General features: G+C 48.4%; 1 protein-coding gene and 1 pseudogene across 7 annotated transcripts in view, besides 8 other annotated features; both read left to right on the forward strand.

Moving 5' to 3' along the window:
- The window catches only part of RNF135 (ring finger protein 135), a 40991-nt gene that overhangs the window by 10287 nt on the left and 15550 nt on the right, over positions 1–15154 (forward strand). For 3 of the 6 annotated variants that reach the window (NM_001184992.2, NM_032322.4, NM_197939.2), the window contains exon 1: positions 1832–2238. The exons of 2 other annotated variants lie outside the window; for them this stretch is intronic. In NM_001184992.2, coding sequence (NP_001171921.1) covers positions 1867–2238 — 372 coding nt within the window. In that variant the 5' untranslated portion in view covers positions 1832–1866. One more of the 6 variants, XM_024451000.2, reaches the window with a different exon arrangement.
- Positions 968–1057: an enhancer, noted in NCBI's record as "active region_12004". NCBI's record gives its function as "activates an Ori minimal core promoter by ATAC-STARR-seq in GM12878 lymphoblastoid cells {active_cell/tissue: GM12878}" and the evidence as "EXISTENCE:reporter gene assay evidence [ECO:0000049][PMID:35858748]".
- Positions 1118–1177: an enhancer, noted in NCBI's record as "active region_12005". NCBI's record gives its function as "activates an Ori minimal core promoter by ATAC-STARR-seq in GM12878 lymphoblastoid cells {active_cell/tissue: GM12878}" and the evidence as "EXISTENCE:reporter gene assay evidence [ECO:0000049][PMID:35858748]".
- Positions 1246–1807: an enhancer, noted in NCBI's record as "H3K27ac hESC enhancer chr17:29297471-29298032 (GRCh37/hg19 assembly coordinates)". NCBI's record gives its function as "activates a minimal SCP1, AML or CMV promoter by ChIP-STARR-seq in primed H9 embryonic stem cells {active_cell/tissue: H9 hESC(primed)}" and the evidence as "EXISTENCE:reporter gene assay evidence [ECO:0000049][PMID:30033119]".
- Positions 1458–1707: an enhancer, noted in NCBI's record as "active region_12006". NCBI's record gives its function as "activates an Ori minimal core promoter by ATAC-STARR-seq in GM12878 lymphoblastoid cells {active_cell/tissue: GM12878}" and the evidence as "EXISTENCE:reporter gene assay evidence [ECO:0000049][PMID:35858748]".
- Positions 1788–2327: a silencer, noted in NCBI's record as "silent region_8406". NCBI's record gives its function as "represses an Ori minimal core promoter by ATAC-STARR-seq in GM12878 lymphoblastoid cells {active_cell/tissue: GM12878}" and the evidence as "EXISTENCE:reporter gene assay evidence [ECO:0000049][PMID:35858748]".
- Positions 1788–2369: a biological region, named in NCBI's record as "H3K27ac hESC enhancer GRCh37_chr17:29298033-29298594".
- Positions 1808–2369: an enhancer, noted in NCBI's record as "H3K27ac hESC enhancer chr17:29298033-29298594 (GRCh37/hg19 assembly coordinates)". NCBI's record gives its function as "activates a minimal SCP1, AML or CMV promoter by ChIP-STARR-seq in primed H9 embryonic stem cells {active_cell/tissue: H9 hESC(primed)}" and the evidence as "EXISTENCE:reporter gene assay evidence [ECO:0000049][PMID:30033119]".
- Positions 2398–2647: an enhancer, noted in NCBI's record as "active region_12007". NCBI's record gives its function as "activates an Ori minimal core promoter by ATAC-STARR-seq in GM12878 lymphoblastoid cells {active_cell/tissue: GM12878}" and the evidence as "EXISTENCE:reporter gene assay evidence [ECO:0000049][PMID:35858748]".
- Positions 6128–6797, forward strand: DPRXP4 (divergent-paired related homeobox pseudogene 4; annotated as a pseudogene). Its single transcript, NR_002221.1, has one exon. The product of NR_002221.1 is annotated as a divergent-paired related homeobox pseudogene 4 (transcript).

The following is a 15154-nucleotide window of genomic DNA, read 5'->3' on the forward strand; positions in this document are numbered from 1 at the left end:
TTTCATTTTTTAAGTTGGAAGATCTGAGCATGTTTAAGTGTTTAGTATCATGCCCGTTTTACAGAAAAAAAGAGGCTCTTAGAAACTACGATTTTACTCCGATGCGGAGATTCTAGAACAAGATCCAGGTAATACATCAGTCAGGATAGGCTAGGTTATGCTGTAGCAGCACACACCCACTAAATCTCAGTAAGCTGAATACATCCTAGTTTTCTTCTCCCTCTTACTACGTATCCTAGGGTGCGTTGGCAGGGAGTCTGCTCATCTTAGCCACTCAGTGACCCAGGTCACCGGATGATGGTTTCATCTCCATAATTGGGGCAGCTGGCAGAAAGGGATACAATGGCCGGCTCAGTCGCCTTTAAAGCTGGTGGGAAGTAACATATTACCTCTGTGTGTTTCAAGTGGGTCAGGGAAGTGCCAGTCCTACCATGTGCCCAGAAAGGGAAAGCACTGGAAACGTTGATGAGCAGCGCTGCCTACTCCATGACACTTCCAGTATTAGAAATAACCACAAACGCTTTTTTTTCTTTCTTTTCTTTCTTTTTTTTCTTTTTTTTTTTTTTTTTTTTTTTGAGACGGAGTCTCCCTATGTCGCCCAGGCTGGAGTGCAGTGGCGCAGTCTTGGCTCACTGAAACCTCCGCCTCCCGGGTTCAAGAGATTCTCCTGCCTCAGCCTCCCAAGTAGCTGGGATTACAGGCATGCGCCAGGGCGCCTGGCTTTTCTTTTCTTTTCTTTTTGTATTTTCAGTAGAGATGAGGGTTCACCATGTTGGCCAGGCTGGTCTTGAACTCCTGACTTCAAGTGATCCAAAGGTCGGCTACAAACTTGTATTATCTGATACCTACTTTGAGCCCAGGCCAGAAAGGATAAAGTAAAGCATGAGACGTTGTTAGTTCATTTCAACAGATTGGGGAGTTGTGGGTTTTAGTCTCTGACGCTTCATTGTTACCATGAGAGCCTGCAAGTTTTTCTTTTTTCTCTTTTTTTTTTTTTTAACCTCTTTGGGTCATCTGGGAGGACGTGGTGCTCTTTTAGCTCTAACATTTTCTGGTTGCAATGCGTTTAGGACTGGGATGCGAAGTGAGTGAGTGAGTGAGCCTTCTCAGGAAAACACTTTCTAGAATTTTGTCCGAGTGTCTGTTGGGAAACGCGCTTACATCCCGCAGAAGGCGGTAAGGACACAGCGCACAACTCTGCATTATACCTGCGAGTTAAAAAGCCAAGGGTTCGCTCACTCAACCTTGAATGCGCGTCAGAATCACCTGGGGGAGGTTTTACAAAATACCCGTGCTCCACCCAAGACAATGAAATCAGACTCCCTGCGAGCGGGGCCGAACATCAGCATTTTTGAGGACGCTCCCTGTGGCTGTGCATCGGTGATCTTTAATCCCCTGCTACTTGTTAGAGGAGCTGGATGACACTTCGTGGGCTCATTCTCATAAATAAGCTGCTGAATGGAGTCCTCTCCTCCCAAGAGTTGTCGGTGTTGCATCTTTTTTGTTGTTTATTTTTTTTTAAGCCAACGGACGAAGACATCCAACGGTGCTGCATCTTAATGGAGGGACATCCAGCTAAAGGGAATCTTGGAGACCTCCGCGGGTTTCTAGCAGCTCGCGGCATGTTGGTTTCCCAGGGCAAGAGGCCGCCACTGAAGGTCAGCTCTGTCTTTCCAGCTGGGCACTGGAGGCTCTAAGTCTGTTTTCAGCAGGATCGGAGGAAGGAGACGGGGTGGCGCCAAGGAAGGAGGAGAAAAGGCGGCCGAGAAAAGGAGGAGGGCAAGGGGAAGAGGAAGGGCGAGGGAGGAGCCTGAGGAGACTCGCCCGGCTCAACCCCGACGTCCGCGCCCCGGCCGCCTGTTGGCCATGGCGGGCCTGGGCCTGGGCTCCGCCGTTCCCGTGTGGCTGGCCGAGGACGACCTCGGCTGCATCATCTGCCAGGGGCTGCTGGACTGGCCCGCCACGCTGCCCTGCGGCCACAGCTTCTGCCGCCACTGCCTGGAGGCCCTGTGGGGCGCCCGCGACGCCCGCCGCTGGGCCTGCCCCACTTGCCGCCAGGGCGCCGCGCAGCAGCCGCACCTGCGGAAGAACACGCTACTGCAGGACCTGGCCGACAAGTACCGCCGCGCCGCACGCGAGATACAGGCGGGCTCCGACCCTGCCCACTGCCCCTGCCCGGGCTCCAGTTCCCTCTCCAGCGCGGCCGCGAGGCCCCGGCGCCGCCCGGAACTGCAGCGGGTAGGGAGGCCGGGCCCGCAGCTCCCCTGGCTCCCCCGGGCTGCCCGCCGCCTGACCCTTTCCCATGTGGCTCGAACCCCTTTCCTCAGCCGTTCTACTTTTACGTTCCTTTTCTCAGTCTAAAAGTCGAGTTCCGCTCTTCGGAGGCACTTTGGAAAGTTCATAAAAGTATGAAGAAGTAGAAAAAAACAAATTCCCCATCTTCCGAAAGCTTGTCAACTTAGCTGTTACACAGCTTGGCATATTTCAACTTCTTCCCAATCGATCTTCGGTCTCTTTCTCTGAAACTTGTAAAATTGTGGTAAGATCTATATAACATTAAAACTGGCCATTTTAACCTTTTTCTTTATTTCTTTGAGACGGAGTCTCGCTCTGTCGCCCAGGCTGGATGGAGTGCAATGGCGTGCGTGATCTCGGCTCACTGCAACCTCCGCCCCCCAGGGTCGAGTGATTCTCTTGCTTCAGGCTCGAGAGTAGCTGGGATTACAGGCGTGCGCCATCACGCCCGGCTAATTTTGGTATTTTTAGTAGAGACGGGGTTTCGACATGTTAGCCAGGCTAGTCTCAAACTCTTGACCACAGATGATCCGTCCGCCTCGGCCTCCCAAAGTGCTGGGATTACAGTCATGAGCCACAGCGCCTGGCCTCATTTTAACCTTTTATTTTTTTGAGACGGAGTTTTGCTTTGTGGCCCAGGCTGGAGTGCAGTGGCGCCATCTTGTCTCACTGCAAGCTCCGCCTCCCGGGTTCACGCCATTCTCCTGCCTCAGCCTCCCGAGTAACTGGGACTACAGGCGCCCGCCACCACGCCTGGCTAATTTTTTGTATGTTTTTTTCTTTTTTTAAAAAATAGGGACGGGGTTTCACCGTTGTTAGCCAGGATGGTCTCGATCTTCTGACCTCGTGATCTGCCCGCCTCGGCTTCCTAAAGTGCTGGGATTACAGGTGTGAGCCACCGCGCCCCGCCTATTTTAACCATTTTTAAGTGTACAATTCAGTGACAAATTAGTTACATTTCCTGTTGTGCAACTATCACTTCTGTTTCCAAAACTGTTTCATCATCATAAACAGAAACTTTGTACTCATTAAGCAGTAACTCCTCATTTCTCCTCCCTCTAGCCCCTGCTCACATCTAAGCTACTTTCTGTATCTGAGTTTGCCTGTTCTAGATATTTCATATAACTGGAATCGTTCAATGTTTGTCCCTTTGTGCCTGGTTTCTTTCACTTAGCATAGTGTTTTCAAAGTTCATTCATGTTGTAGCATGTGTCAGAACTTTATTCCTTTTATGGGGCTGAATGATATTCCATTGGGTGGATGTGCCACATTTTTTTTGTTTGTTTTGTTTTGAGATGGAGTCTTGCTCTGTTGCCAGGCTGGAGTGTAGTGGCATGATCTTGGCTCACTGCAACCTCTGCCCCCTGGGTTCAAGTGATTCTCCTGCCTCAGCCTCCCAAGTAGCTGGGACTACAGGCATGCACCACCACACCCAGGTAATTTTTGTATTTTTAGTAGAGACGGGTTTTCACCATGTTGGCCAGGATGGTCTCGATCTCTTGACCTTGTGATCTGCCCACCTCGGCCTCCGGAAGTGTTGGGATTACAGGCGTGAGCCACCGCACCCAGCCTCACTGTGATTTTGATCTGGATTTCCTTAATGACTAATGATGTTGCCCATCTTTTCTTGTGCTTGTTGGTCATTTATAGATCTTCATTGCAGAAATGTCTATTCAAGTCCTTTGACCATTTTAAAATTGGGTTGTTTATCTTTTTGTTGTTGAGTTTTAGAGATTCCTTCTATATTCTGGATATCAAATTAGATATGACTCACAGATATATTATAAAATATATATTCTCCCATTCTAAGCGTTGTCACTTTCTTGATGGTATCCTTTGATGTGCAAAAGTTTTAAATTTAATTTTTATCTGTTGTTTTCTTTTGTTGCTTGTGCTTCTGTTGTCATATTTACAAATCCATTGCCAAATCTCAGTTCATGAAGATTTACCCCTATGTTTTCTTCTAAGAGTTTTTTTTTTTTTGAAACGAGGTCTCGCTCCTTTCCCAGGGATGGAGTGCAGTGACACGATCTCAGCTCACTGCAGCCTCCACCTCCCGGGTTCAAGCAATTCTCCTGCCTCAGCCTCCAAAGTATTTGGGATTACAGGCGCCTGCCACCACACCTGGATAATTTTTGTATTTTTAGTAGAGACGGGGTTTCACTGTGGGCCAGGCTGGTCTTGAACTGCTGACCTCAAGTGATCTGCCTACCTTGGCCTCCCAAAGTGTTGGGATTACAGGCATGAGCCACTGTGCCAGCCTCTTCTAAGAGTTTTATGGTTTTAGCTTACGTTTAGGTAATTGGTCAATTTTAAGTTAATTTTTGTATATGGTGTGAATTAGGGGTCCAACTTCATTCTTTTGTATGTGGAAATCCAATTGTCTTGGTACCATTTGTTGAAGAGTCTATTCTCCATTGATTAGACTTGGCATCCTTGTCAACAATCATTTGGCTGGGCCAGGCATGTGGTTCACACCTGTAATCCCAGCACTTTGGGAGGCCAAAGTTTCATCTAGAGATGAAACCCCATCTCTAGAAAAATACAAAAAATTAGCTGGGCATGGTGGCATGTGCCTGTAGTCCCAGGTACTTGGGAGGCTGAGGTAGGAGAAATCACCTGAGCTGGGAGTTTGAGGTTGCAGTGAGCCGTGATTGTACCACTGCACTCCAGCCTGGGTAATGGAGTGAGACTCTGTCTCAAAATAAATGTATAGTTTTATTTCTGTACATTCCATTTTATTCCATTGGTCTATATGTCTGTACTTATGCTGGTACCACACTATTTTGATTACTATAACTTTGTAGTAAATTTATAAATAGAGAAGTGTGAGTTCTTTGACTTTGTTTTTTGTTTTTTTTCCCCAAGATTGTTTTTGTTATTCAGAACCCCTCGCAATTCCATCTGAATTTGAAAATTGGCTTTTCCATTTCTACAAAGTAGGCTGTTGGAATTTTGATAGGGATTATGTTGAATCTGTAGATCACTTTGGGTAGTATTGACATCTTAACAATATTAAGTCTTCTTTCCCTAAAACACAGAATGTCTTTTTATTTATTTTTATTTGGGTCTATAATTCCTTCAGTGATTTTTTTTTTTGTAGTTTTAAGTGTATAAGTCTTTCACCTCTTTGATTAAATTTATTCCTAGCTATGTTATTCCTTTTTATTATTATTATTATTATTATTTTTTTTTGAGACAGAGTCTTGTTCTGTCACACAGGCTGGAGTGCAGTGGCACGATCTTGGCTCACTGCAACCTCCATCTCCCGGGTTCAAGTGATTCTCCTACCTCAGCCTCCCGAGTAGCTGGGGTTACAGGTGCCCATCACCACCCAGGCTAATTTTTATATTTTTGTAGAGATGGGGTTTCACCATGTTAGCTAGGCTGGTCTCAAACTCTTGACCTCAGGTGATCTGCCTGCCTCGGCCTCCCAAAGTGCTGGGATTACAGGCATGAGCCACTGTGCCAGGCCCATTATAATTTATTTTAAGAAATTTTTCAGGCAGATTGTCATGGCTCACACTTACAATCCTAGCACTTTGGGAGGCAGAAGCAGGAGGATTGCTTGAGCCCAGGAGTTCAAGACCAGCCTGGGCAGCATGGTGAGATCCAATTAAAAAAAAAAGAAAAAAGAAGCTATGAGACCCAATGAAAAAAAAAAGAAAAAAGAAGCTGGGTGTGATGACACATGGCTGTGGTCCCAGCTACTTGCGAGACTGAGGTACGAAGAACACTTGAATCCAGGAGGTTGAGGCTGCAGTGAGCTGTTTTCATGTCACTGCACTCCAGCCTGGGCAACAGAGCAACATCCTGTTTCCCCTTAAAAAAATATTGCTACTTATGCCTGCACCTGAGCCCAGGCACACATCTGGATTAGAAGATGCCAGGCTCAGAGGATCTTCCTAAAGGCAAGGACCAGATGCATTCACACAGGAAATGAACTGTGTTCACTGAGAAGCAACTGGAAGATCTGAACATCTTGTTCAATGAGAACCCATACCCAAACCCCTGCCCTCAGAAATAAATGGCCTCGAAAATAGACATACACCCAACAATACTCCAGGTCTGGTTCAAGAACCACAGAGCAAAACTCAAGAAAGCCAAATAAAAGCATATTCAGCAAAAACAAGAAACTCCACAACCGCCAATACCGGAGGGTGGAGTCACCACCAGTGTCGGCCTGAGAAATGCAGACACACTACCCAGATTGCCCAACACTGCTCACCTGATTGGCCTGGTGTACATGGGTCATCGGGTACCCTCTTTCCAGCTCATCCTGTACCCCAACATCAAGGTCCCTGCAGATGACTTCGTTGGCCACAGAATAGTCCATTTTGGCTGCTGCCAAGCTCCTAACGTATATGGCTTCTACCCCATTTTGGAATCCCAAGTTTGGGCTCCAAGCTTCAATTCTGACTCTTCTGCCTGTTCATCTCTACAAAGTTGAGAGATGATAAATACAAAAAGTCACATGTAAAAAAAAATAAATACTAAAAAAATTTTTTTTGTTTGTTTTTTTGAGATGGCGTCTCGCTCTGTTGCCAGACTGGAGTGCGGTGGCGTGATCTCTGCTCACTGCAACCTCCGCCTCCCTGGTTCAAGTGATTCTCCTGCCTCAGTCTTCCCAGCAGCTGGGATTACAGGCACACGCCACCACACCTGGCTAATTTTTGTATTTTTAGTAGAGACGGGGTTTCACCATGTTGGCCAGGATGGTCTTGAACTCCTGACCTCGTGATCCACCCGCCTCGGCCTCCCAAAGTGCTGGGATTACAGGCATGAACCACCACGCCCAGCCTATTTCAATTTTTTTTGAATGTTTTAAGACTTGTTTTTGTGACCTGACATATGTTAGGTCTTAGGTTTTGTGACCTATCCTTGAGAATGATCATGTGCTGAGGAAAAGATCCATGTGTATTCTGTAGCGTGGATGTAAATGTTCCATAAATATCCATTAGGTCCATTTGATCTACAGTACAGATTAAGTCCAATATTTCCTTGTTACTTTTCTGTCTGAATAATTTGTTCAATGCCAAAAGTGGGTTGTTGAAGTCTCCAGCTGTTATTGTATTGGAGTCTGTCTTCTCTTTAGCTCTAATAATACTTGCTTTACATGTCTGGGTGCTTTAGTGTTGGTGCATATATATTTACAGTTGTTATATCTTCTTACTGAATTGACTCCATCATTATAAACTTTGTCTTTTATTATAGATTTTGTTTTGAAATCTATTTGTCTGATATATGTATAGCTAATCCTGCTCTTTTTTGGTTTCCATTGGCATGGGATATATTTTTCCATCCCTTTATTTTCAGTCTATATGTGCCTATAGATGAAGTGTGTTTCTTGTAGGGAATAGATCATTGGGTCTTGTTTTTTTATCCAGTCAACCACTCTGTGTCTTTTGATTGAAGATTTTTGTTCATTTACATTCAATGTTATTGATAAGTAATTCTTGCCATTTTGTTATTTGTTCTTTGGTTGTTTTGTTTTGTGGTCTTCTCTTCCTTCTTTCCTTCTTTTCTGTCTTCCTTTAAATGAAGATGATTTTCTCTGGTGCTATGATTTAGTTTCTTGCTTTTTATTTTTTGTGTATCCATTATATGATTTTTGATTTGAGGTTACCATGAGCTTGCAAGTAGTATCTTATAACCTATTGTTTTAAGCTGATAACAACTTGACACTGCTTGCATGAACTACCTAACAAGCAAAAAGAAAACTAATAAAAACTCTACACTTCAAATTCATCCCCTGCTATTTAATTTTTTGTTATTTCTGTGTATATCTTATACTATCTATATGTTTGAAAGTTGTTGTAGTTATTTTTTATTGGTTTTCTGTGACCTTACTATTACTAGTGAGGTTTTTGTTTTGTTTTGTTTTGTTTTGAGACAGAGTTTTACTCTGTTGCCCAGGTTGGAGTGCAGTGACGTGATCTCGGCTCACTGCAACTTCCACCTCTTGGGTTCAAGAAATTCTCCTGTCTCAGCCTCCCGAGTAGCTGGGACTACAGGCATGCGCCACCATGCCCAGCTAATTTTTGTATTTTTAGTAGTGACAGGGTTTCATCATGTTGTCCAGGCTGGTCTTGAACTCCTGACCTCAAGTGATCTGCCCACCTCAGCCTCCCAAAGTGCTGGGATTACAGGCCACCTCCTGGGTTCAAGCGATTCTCCTGCCGCAGCCTCTGGAGTAGCTGGGATTACAGGCGCCCACCACCACGCCCGGCTAATTTTTGTATTTTTAGCAGAGACGGGGTTTCACCATGTTGGCCAGGCTAGTCTCGAACTCCTGACCTCAGGTGATCCACCCGCCGTGGCCTCCCAAAGTGCTGGGATTACAAGTATGAGCCACTGCGCCTGGCCTTCTTTTCTTTTTGATTGAAGTATTCCCTTTAGCATTTCTTGTAGGACAGGTCTGGTGTTGATAAAATCCCTTAGCTTTTGTTTGTCTGGGAGAGTCTATTTCTCCTTCATGTTTCAAAGCTATTTTCACAAATTATAGTTTTCTAGGGTAAAAGTTTTTTCCTTCAGCACTTTACATATGTCATGGCACTTTCTCCTGGCCTATAAGGTTTCCACTGAAAAGTCTGCTGCCAGATGTATTGGAACTCCCTTGTATATTATTTATTTCTTTTCTCTTGCTGCTTTAGGATCCTTTCTTTAACCTTAACCTTTGGGAGTTTTATTATAAATGCCTTCACATAGTCTTCTTTGGGTTAAATCTGCTTGGTGTTTTATAACCTTCTTGTATGTAGATATTGATGTCTTTCTGTAGATTTGGGAAGTTCCATGCTATTATTTCTTTGAATAAACTTTCTACCACTATTTCTTTCTCTACCTCCTCTTAAGGCCAATAATTCTTAGATTTGCCCCTTTGAGGCCATTTTCTAGATCTTGTAGGCATGCTTCATTCTCTTTTTTCTTTTGTCTCTTCTTACTGTGTATTTTCAAATAGGCTGAATTCAGGCTCACTAATTCTTTCTAATACTTGATCGATTTTGCTATTGAGAGACTCTGATGCATTCTTCAGTATGTCAGATGCATTCTTCGATTCCAGAATTTCTGCTTGATTTTTAATTATTTCTTTTTTTTATTTATTTTTTATTTTTTATTTTTTTTTTATTGATCATTCTTGGGTGTTTCTCGCAGAGGGGGATTTGGCAGGGTCATAGGACAATAGTGGAGGGAAGGTCAGCAGATAAACAAGTGAACAAAGGTCTCTGGTTTTCCTAGGCAGAGGACCCTGCGGCCTTCCGCAGTGTTTGTGTCCCTGGGTACTTAAGATTAGGGAGTGGTGATGACTCTTAACGAGCATGCTGCCTTCAAGCATCTGTTTAACAAAGCACATCTTGCACCGCCCTTAATCCATTTAACCCTGAGTGGACACAGCACATGTTTCAGAGAGCACAGGGTTGGGGATAAGGTCACAGATCTACAGGATCCCAAGGCAGAAGAATTTTTCTTAGTACAGAACAAAATGAAAAGTCTCCCATGTCTACTTCTATCCACACAGACCCGGCAACCATCCGATTTCTCAATTTTTTCCCCACCCTTCCCGCCTTTCTATTCCACAAAACCGCCATTGTCATCATGGCCCATCCCCAATGAGCTGCTGGGCACACCTCCCAGACGGGGTCGTGGCCGGGCAGAGGGGCTCCTCACTTCCCAGTAGGGGCGGCCGGGCAGAAGCGCCCCTCACCTCCCGGATGGGGCGGCTGGCCGGGCGGGGGGCTGACCCCCCCCCCCACCCTCCCGGACGGGGCGGCTGGCCAGGCAGAGGGGCTCCTCACTTCCCAGTAGGGGCGGCCGGGCAGAGGCGCCCCTCACCTCCTGGATAGGGCGGCTGGCCGGGCGGGGGGCTGTCCCCCCCACCTCCCTCCCGGACGGGGCGGCTGGCCGGGCAGAGGGGTCCTCACTTCCCAGTAGGGGCGGCCGGGCAGAGGCGCCCCTCACCTCCCGGACGGGGCGGCCGGCCGGAAGGGGGGCTGACCCCCCCCACCTCCCTCCCGGACGGGGCAGCTGGCCGACCCCCCCCCCCCGCCTCCCTCCCGGACGGGGCGGCTGGCCCGGCAGAGGGGCTCCTCACTTCCCAGTAGGGGCGGCCGGGCAGAGGCGCCCCTCACCTCCCGGACGGGGCGGCTGGCCAGGCGGGGGGCTGATCCCCCCCACCTCCCTCCCGGACGGGGCGGCTGGCCGGGCGGGGGGCTGACCCCCCCCACCTCCCTCCCGGACGGGGCGGCTGGCCGGGCAGGGGGCTGACCCCCCTCCCCCCTCCCGGACGGGGCGGCTGGCCGGGCGGGGGGCTGACCCCCCCACCTCCCTCCCGGATGGGGCGGCTGGCCAGGCGGGGGGGCTGACCCCCCCACCTCCCTCCCGGGCGGGGCGGCTGGCCGGGCAGAGGGGCTCCTCACTTCCCAGTAGGGGCGGCCGGGCAGAGGCGCCCCTCACCTCCCGGACGGGGCGGCTGGCCAGGCGGGGGGCTGATCCTCCCACCTCCCTCCCGGACGGGGCGGCTGGCCGGGCGGGGGGCTGACCCCCCACCTCCCTCCCGGACTGGGCGGCTGGCCAGGCGGGGGGCTGACTCCCCCACCTCCCTCCTGGACGGGGCGACTGGCCGGGCAGAGGGGCTCCTCACTTCCCAGTAGGGGCGGCTGGGCAGAGGAGCCCCTCACCTCCCGGATGGGGCGGCTGGCCGGGCGGGGGGCTGACCCCCCCACCTCCCTCCCGGACGGGGCGGCTGGCCGGGCAGAGGGGTCCTCACTTCCCAGTAGGGGCGGCCGGGCAGAGGCGCCCCTCACCTCCCGGACGGGGCGGCCGGCCGGGCGGGGGGCTGAGCCCCCCACCTCCCTCCCGGACGGGGCGGCTGGCCGGGCAGAGGGGCTCCTCACTTCCCAGTAGGGGCGGCCGGGCAGAGGGGCTCCTCACTTCCCAGTAGGGGCGGCCGGGCAGAGGAGCCCCTCACCTCCCGGACGGGGCGGCTGGCCGGGCGGGGGGCTGACCCCCCCCACCTCCCTCCCGGACGGGGTGGCTGCCGGGCGGAGACGCTCCTCACTTCCCAGACGGGGTGGTTGCCGGACGGAGGGGCTCCTCACTTCTCAGACGGGGCGGTTGCCAGGCAGAGGGTTTCCTCACTTCTCAGACGGAGCGGCCGGGCAGAGACGCTCCTCACCTCCCAGACAGGGTTGCGGCCCAGCAGAGGCGCTCCTCACATCCCAGACAGGGCGGTGGGGCAGAGGTGCTCCCCACATCTCAGACGATGGGCGGCCGGGCAGAGACGCTCCTCACTTCCTAGATGGGATGGTGGCGGGGAAGAGGCGCTCCTCGCTTCCTAGATGGGATGGCGGCCGGGCAGAGACGCTCCTCACTTTCCAGACTGGGCAGCCAGGCAGAGGGGCTCCTCATATCCCAGACGATGGGTGGCCAAGCAGAGAAGCTCCTCACTTCCCAGACGGGGTGGCGGCCGGGCAGAGGCTGCAATCTCGGCTCTTTGGGAGGCCAAGGCAGGCGGCTGGGAGGTGGTTGTAGCGAGCCGAGATCACGCCACTGCACTCCAGCCTGGGCACCATTGAGCACTGAGTGAACGAGACTCCATCTGCAATCCCGGCACCTCGGGAGGCCGAGGCTGGCGGATCACTCGCGGTTAGGAGCTGGAGACCAGCCCGGCCAACACAGCGAAACCCCGTCTCCACCAAAAAAAAACGAAAACCAGTCAGGCGTGGCGGCGCGCGCCTGCAATCGCAGGCACTCGACAGGCTGAGGCAGGAGAATCAGGCAGGGAGGTTGCAGTGAGCCGAGATGGCAGCAGTACCGTCCAGCTTTGGCTCAGCATCAGAGGGAGACCGTGGAGGGAGAGGGAGAGGGAGAGGGAGAGCGTGGTGATGACTCTTAACCGATTTTTAATTATTTCAATCATTTTGTTAAATTTACCTGATAGAATTCTGAATTCCTTCTCTGTTATCTTGAATGTCTCCGAGTTTTCTTAAATCAGCTATTTTGAATTCTCTGTCTGAAAGGTCACATATTTCTGTTTCTCCTGAATTGGCTCTTGGTGACTTATTTAGTTAGTTTGGTGGGGTCATGTTTTCCTGAATGGTCTTGATGCTCGTGGATGTTTGTCAGTGCCTGGGCATTGAAGAGTTAGTTATTTATTGTAGTCTTCACAGTCTGGGCTTGTTTGTACCTGTCCTTCTTGGGAAGGCTTTCCAGGAATTTGAAAGGACTTGGGCGTTGTGATCTAAGCCGTATCTGCATTAGGGGGCACCCCAAGCCCAGTAAAGCTGTGACTCTTGCAGACTACTAGAGGTACCACCTTGGTGGTCTTGTATAAGATCCAGAAGAATTATCTGGATTACCAGGCAGAGATTCTTGTTCTCTTCTCATACGTTCTCCAAAACAGTCTGTCTGTGTGCTGAGCTGCCTGGAGCTGGAGGTGGGGTGACAGAAGCACCTTGTGGCCATGACCACTAGAACTGCACAGGGTCAGACCTAAAGCCAACACAGCACTGTGCCTTACCCAAGCCCCTTGTTAACCACTATCTGGCTACCACCTATATTGACTCAAGGACCTAGGGCTCTATAATCAGCAGATGGCAAAGCCAGCCAGGCTTGTGTCCTTCCCTTCATGGTGGCACATTCACCCAGGCTCGGGGCCGGTCCAGAGACCCATCTCAGCACTAGGACTTGCCTAGGAGTTGCAGTCCTTGTGGCCTAGACTGCCTTTCAAGTTTATTTAGAGCCCCAGAGCACTTCAGCCCACAGTGGAGAGGCTTGCCAGAACTCAGGTTCCAATAACTGGGGTGGGTGATTTGATTCCTCTCTGGCTAGGACTGATCTAAATGCTCCCTCTGTGGGTAGGCGTCAGCTGAATTCAGCCCAGTTTTGCTTTGTGAAGCGACAAGGCAAAGTCTTTCTATTCTCTTTATCACCATGCTCTCCCTTTCCTGAGTGCACAGATTCTCTGTGCATGTGGCCCCTGACACATGGGATATGGGTTGCATTGGCAATTCAAGACTGTTTCTCCTACCCTCTTCAGTGCCTGTTTCAGTAATATAAAGTTAAAACCAGGTACTGTAAGTACCCCTGATTTTTGGTTCTTATGAAGGTGCTTTTTTGTGTAGTTGTTAAATTTGGTGTTCTTGTGGGAGGGATGATCAATGGAGCCTTCTATTTGGCTATCTTGCTCTGCCCTCTCCACCCTTAAGTCTTCTGGCTTTCCCCCACTTCTCTCTGGCCCTAAACCATTTTTAAGTATACAGTTTGGTGATATGAAATACATTCACAATGTTTTGAAACCATCACTACCATCATTTCCATAACTTTAAAAAATTTTAAATTAACATGACTGGTTCTTCAGGGTACCATAACTCTTTTCAACTCGCAAAAGTGGAATTCTAGGAGGACATTAAAATTCTCCATTTCCTCTTCCCCCAGCCTCTGGCAACCATCATTCTAATTTCTGTCTCTGATTTTGACTACTCTAAATACCTCATATAAGTTGAATCATACAGTATCTGTCTTTTTGTGACTGGCTTATTTCACTTAGCATAATGTCTTCAAGGGTTATTTATGTTGTAGCATGTGTCAGAGTTCCCTTCCTTTTTAAGGCTGAGTAGTATTCTATTGTATGTATATGCCACTTTTTGCTTATTCATTCATTTGTCTGCAGATACTTGGGTTGCTTCCATGTTTTAGCTAGTGGGAATAATACTGCTATGGGCATGAGTTTATGAATCTCTTTGAGATCCTGTTTTCAATTCTTATATATCCGGAAGTGGAATTGCTAAATCATATGGTAATTCTAATTACATATATGTACATATATATATATATATATATATATATATATATATTTTTTTTTTTTTTTTTTGAGATGGAGTCTGGCCCTGTCGCCCAGGCTTGAATGCAGTGGCATGATCTTGGCTCACTGCAACCTCCATCTCCTGGGTTCAAGAGATTTTCTTGCTTCAGCCTCCCAAGTAGCTGGGATTATAGGTGCCTGCAACCACACCTGGTGAATTTTTGTATTTTTAGTAGAGATGGGGTTTCACCAGGTTGGCCAGGATGATCTCGAACTCTTGACCTCAGGTGATCCACCCGCCTCGGCCTCCCAAAGTGCTGGGATTACAGCCATGAGCTATTGCGCCTGGCCTATTTTTAATATTTTGAGCAGCCACCATTCTGTCTTCCATAGTGGCTATATCATTCCCACCAACAGTGCAGAGGGTTCCAATCTTCCCACACCATCAACATTTGTTATTTTGGTTTTTTTTTTTTTGATAGTAGCCAACCTAATGAGTGTGAGGTGGTATCTCACTGTATGTTTTGATTTGCATTTCCCTAGTGATTAGTGATCTTGAGTGTCTATTCATGTGCTTATTGGTGATTTGTATATCTTCTTTGGAGAAATAGCTATTCAAGTTCTTTGCCCATTTCAAAATTCAGTTGTTTGTGGGTTTTTGCTTGTTTGTTTTACCAACCAAACAAGCGGCAGTGATATGTTTTTATTGTTGAGTTTTAGAAATTCTCTGTATATTCTCAGTATTAATGCCTTATCAGATGTATGACTTGCAAATATTTTCTTCCATTTTTGTGGATTGCCTTTTTACTCTATTGTTCGTGTCTTTTGATGCACAAATGTTTAAACATTTCATGTAGTCCAATTTGTCTCCTTTTTTCTTTTGTTGCCTGTGCTTTTAGTGACATATACAATAAATCATTGCCAAATCCAATGTCATAAATTTTGCCCTATGTTTTCTTCTAACAGCTGTATTATTTTAGGTCTTACATTTAGGTCTTTGATCCATTTTGAGTTAGTTTTTGTATATGATGTTAGGTAAGGGTCCAGCCATATTCTTTT

The sequence above is a fragment of the Homo sapiens genome, chromosome 17 (genome assembly GCF_000001405.40).
Source record: "Homo sapiens chromosome 17, GRCh38.p14 Primary Assembly".
Lineage (NCBI taxonomy): Eukaryota > Metazoa > Chordata > Mammalia > Primates > Hominidae > Homo > Homo sapiens.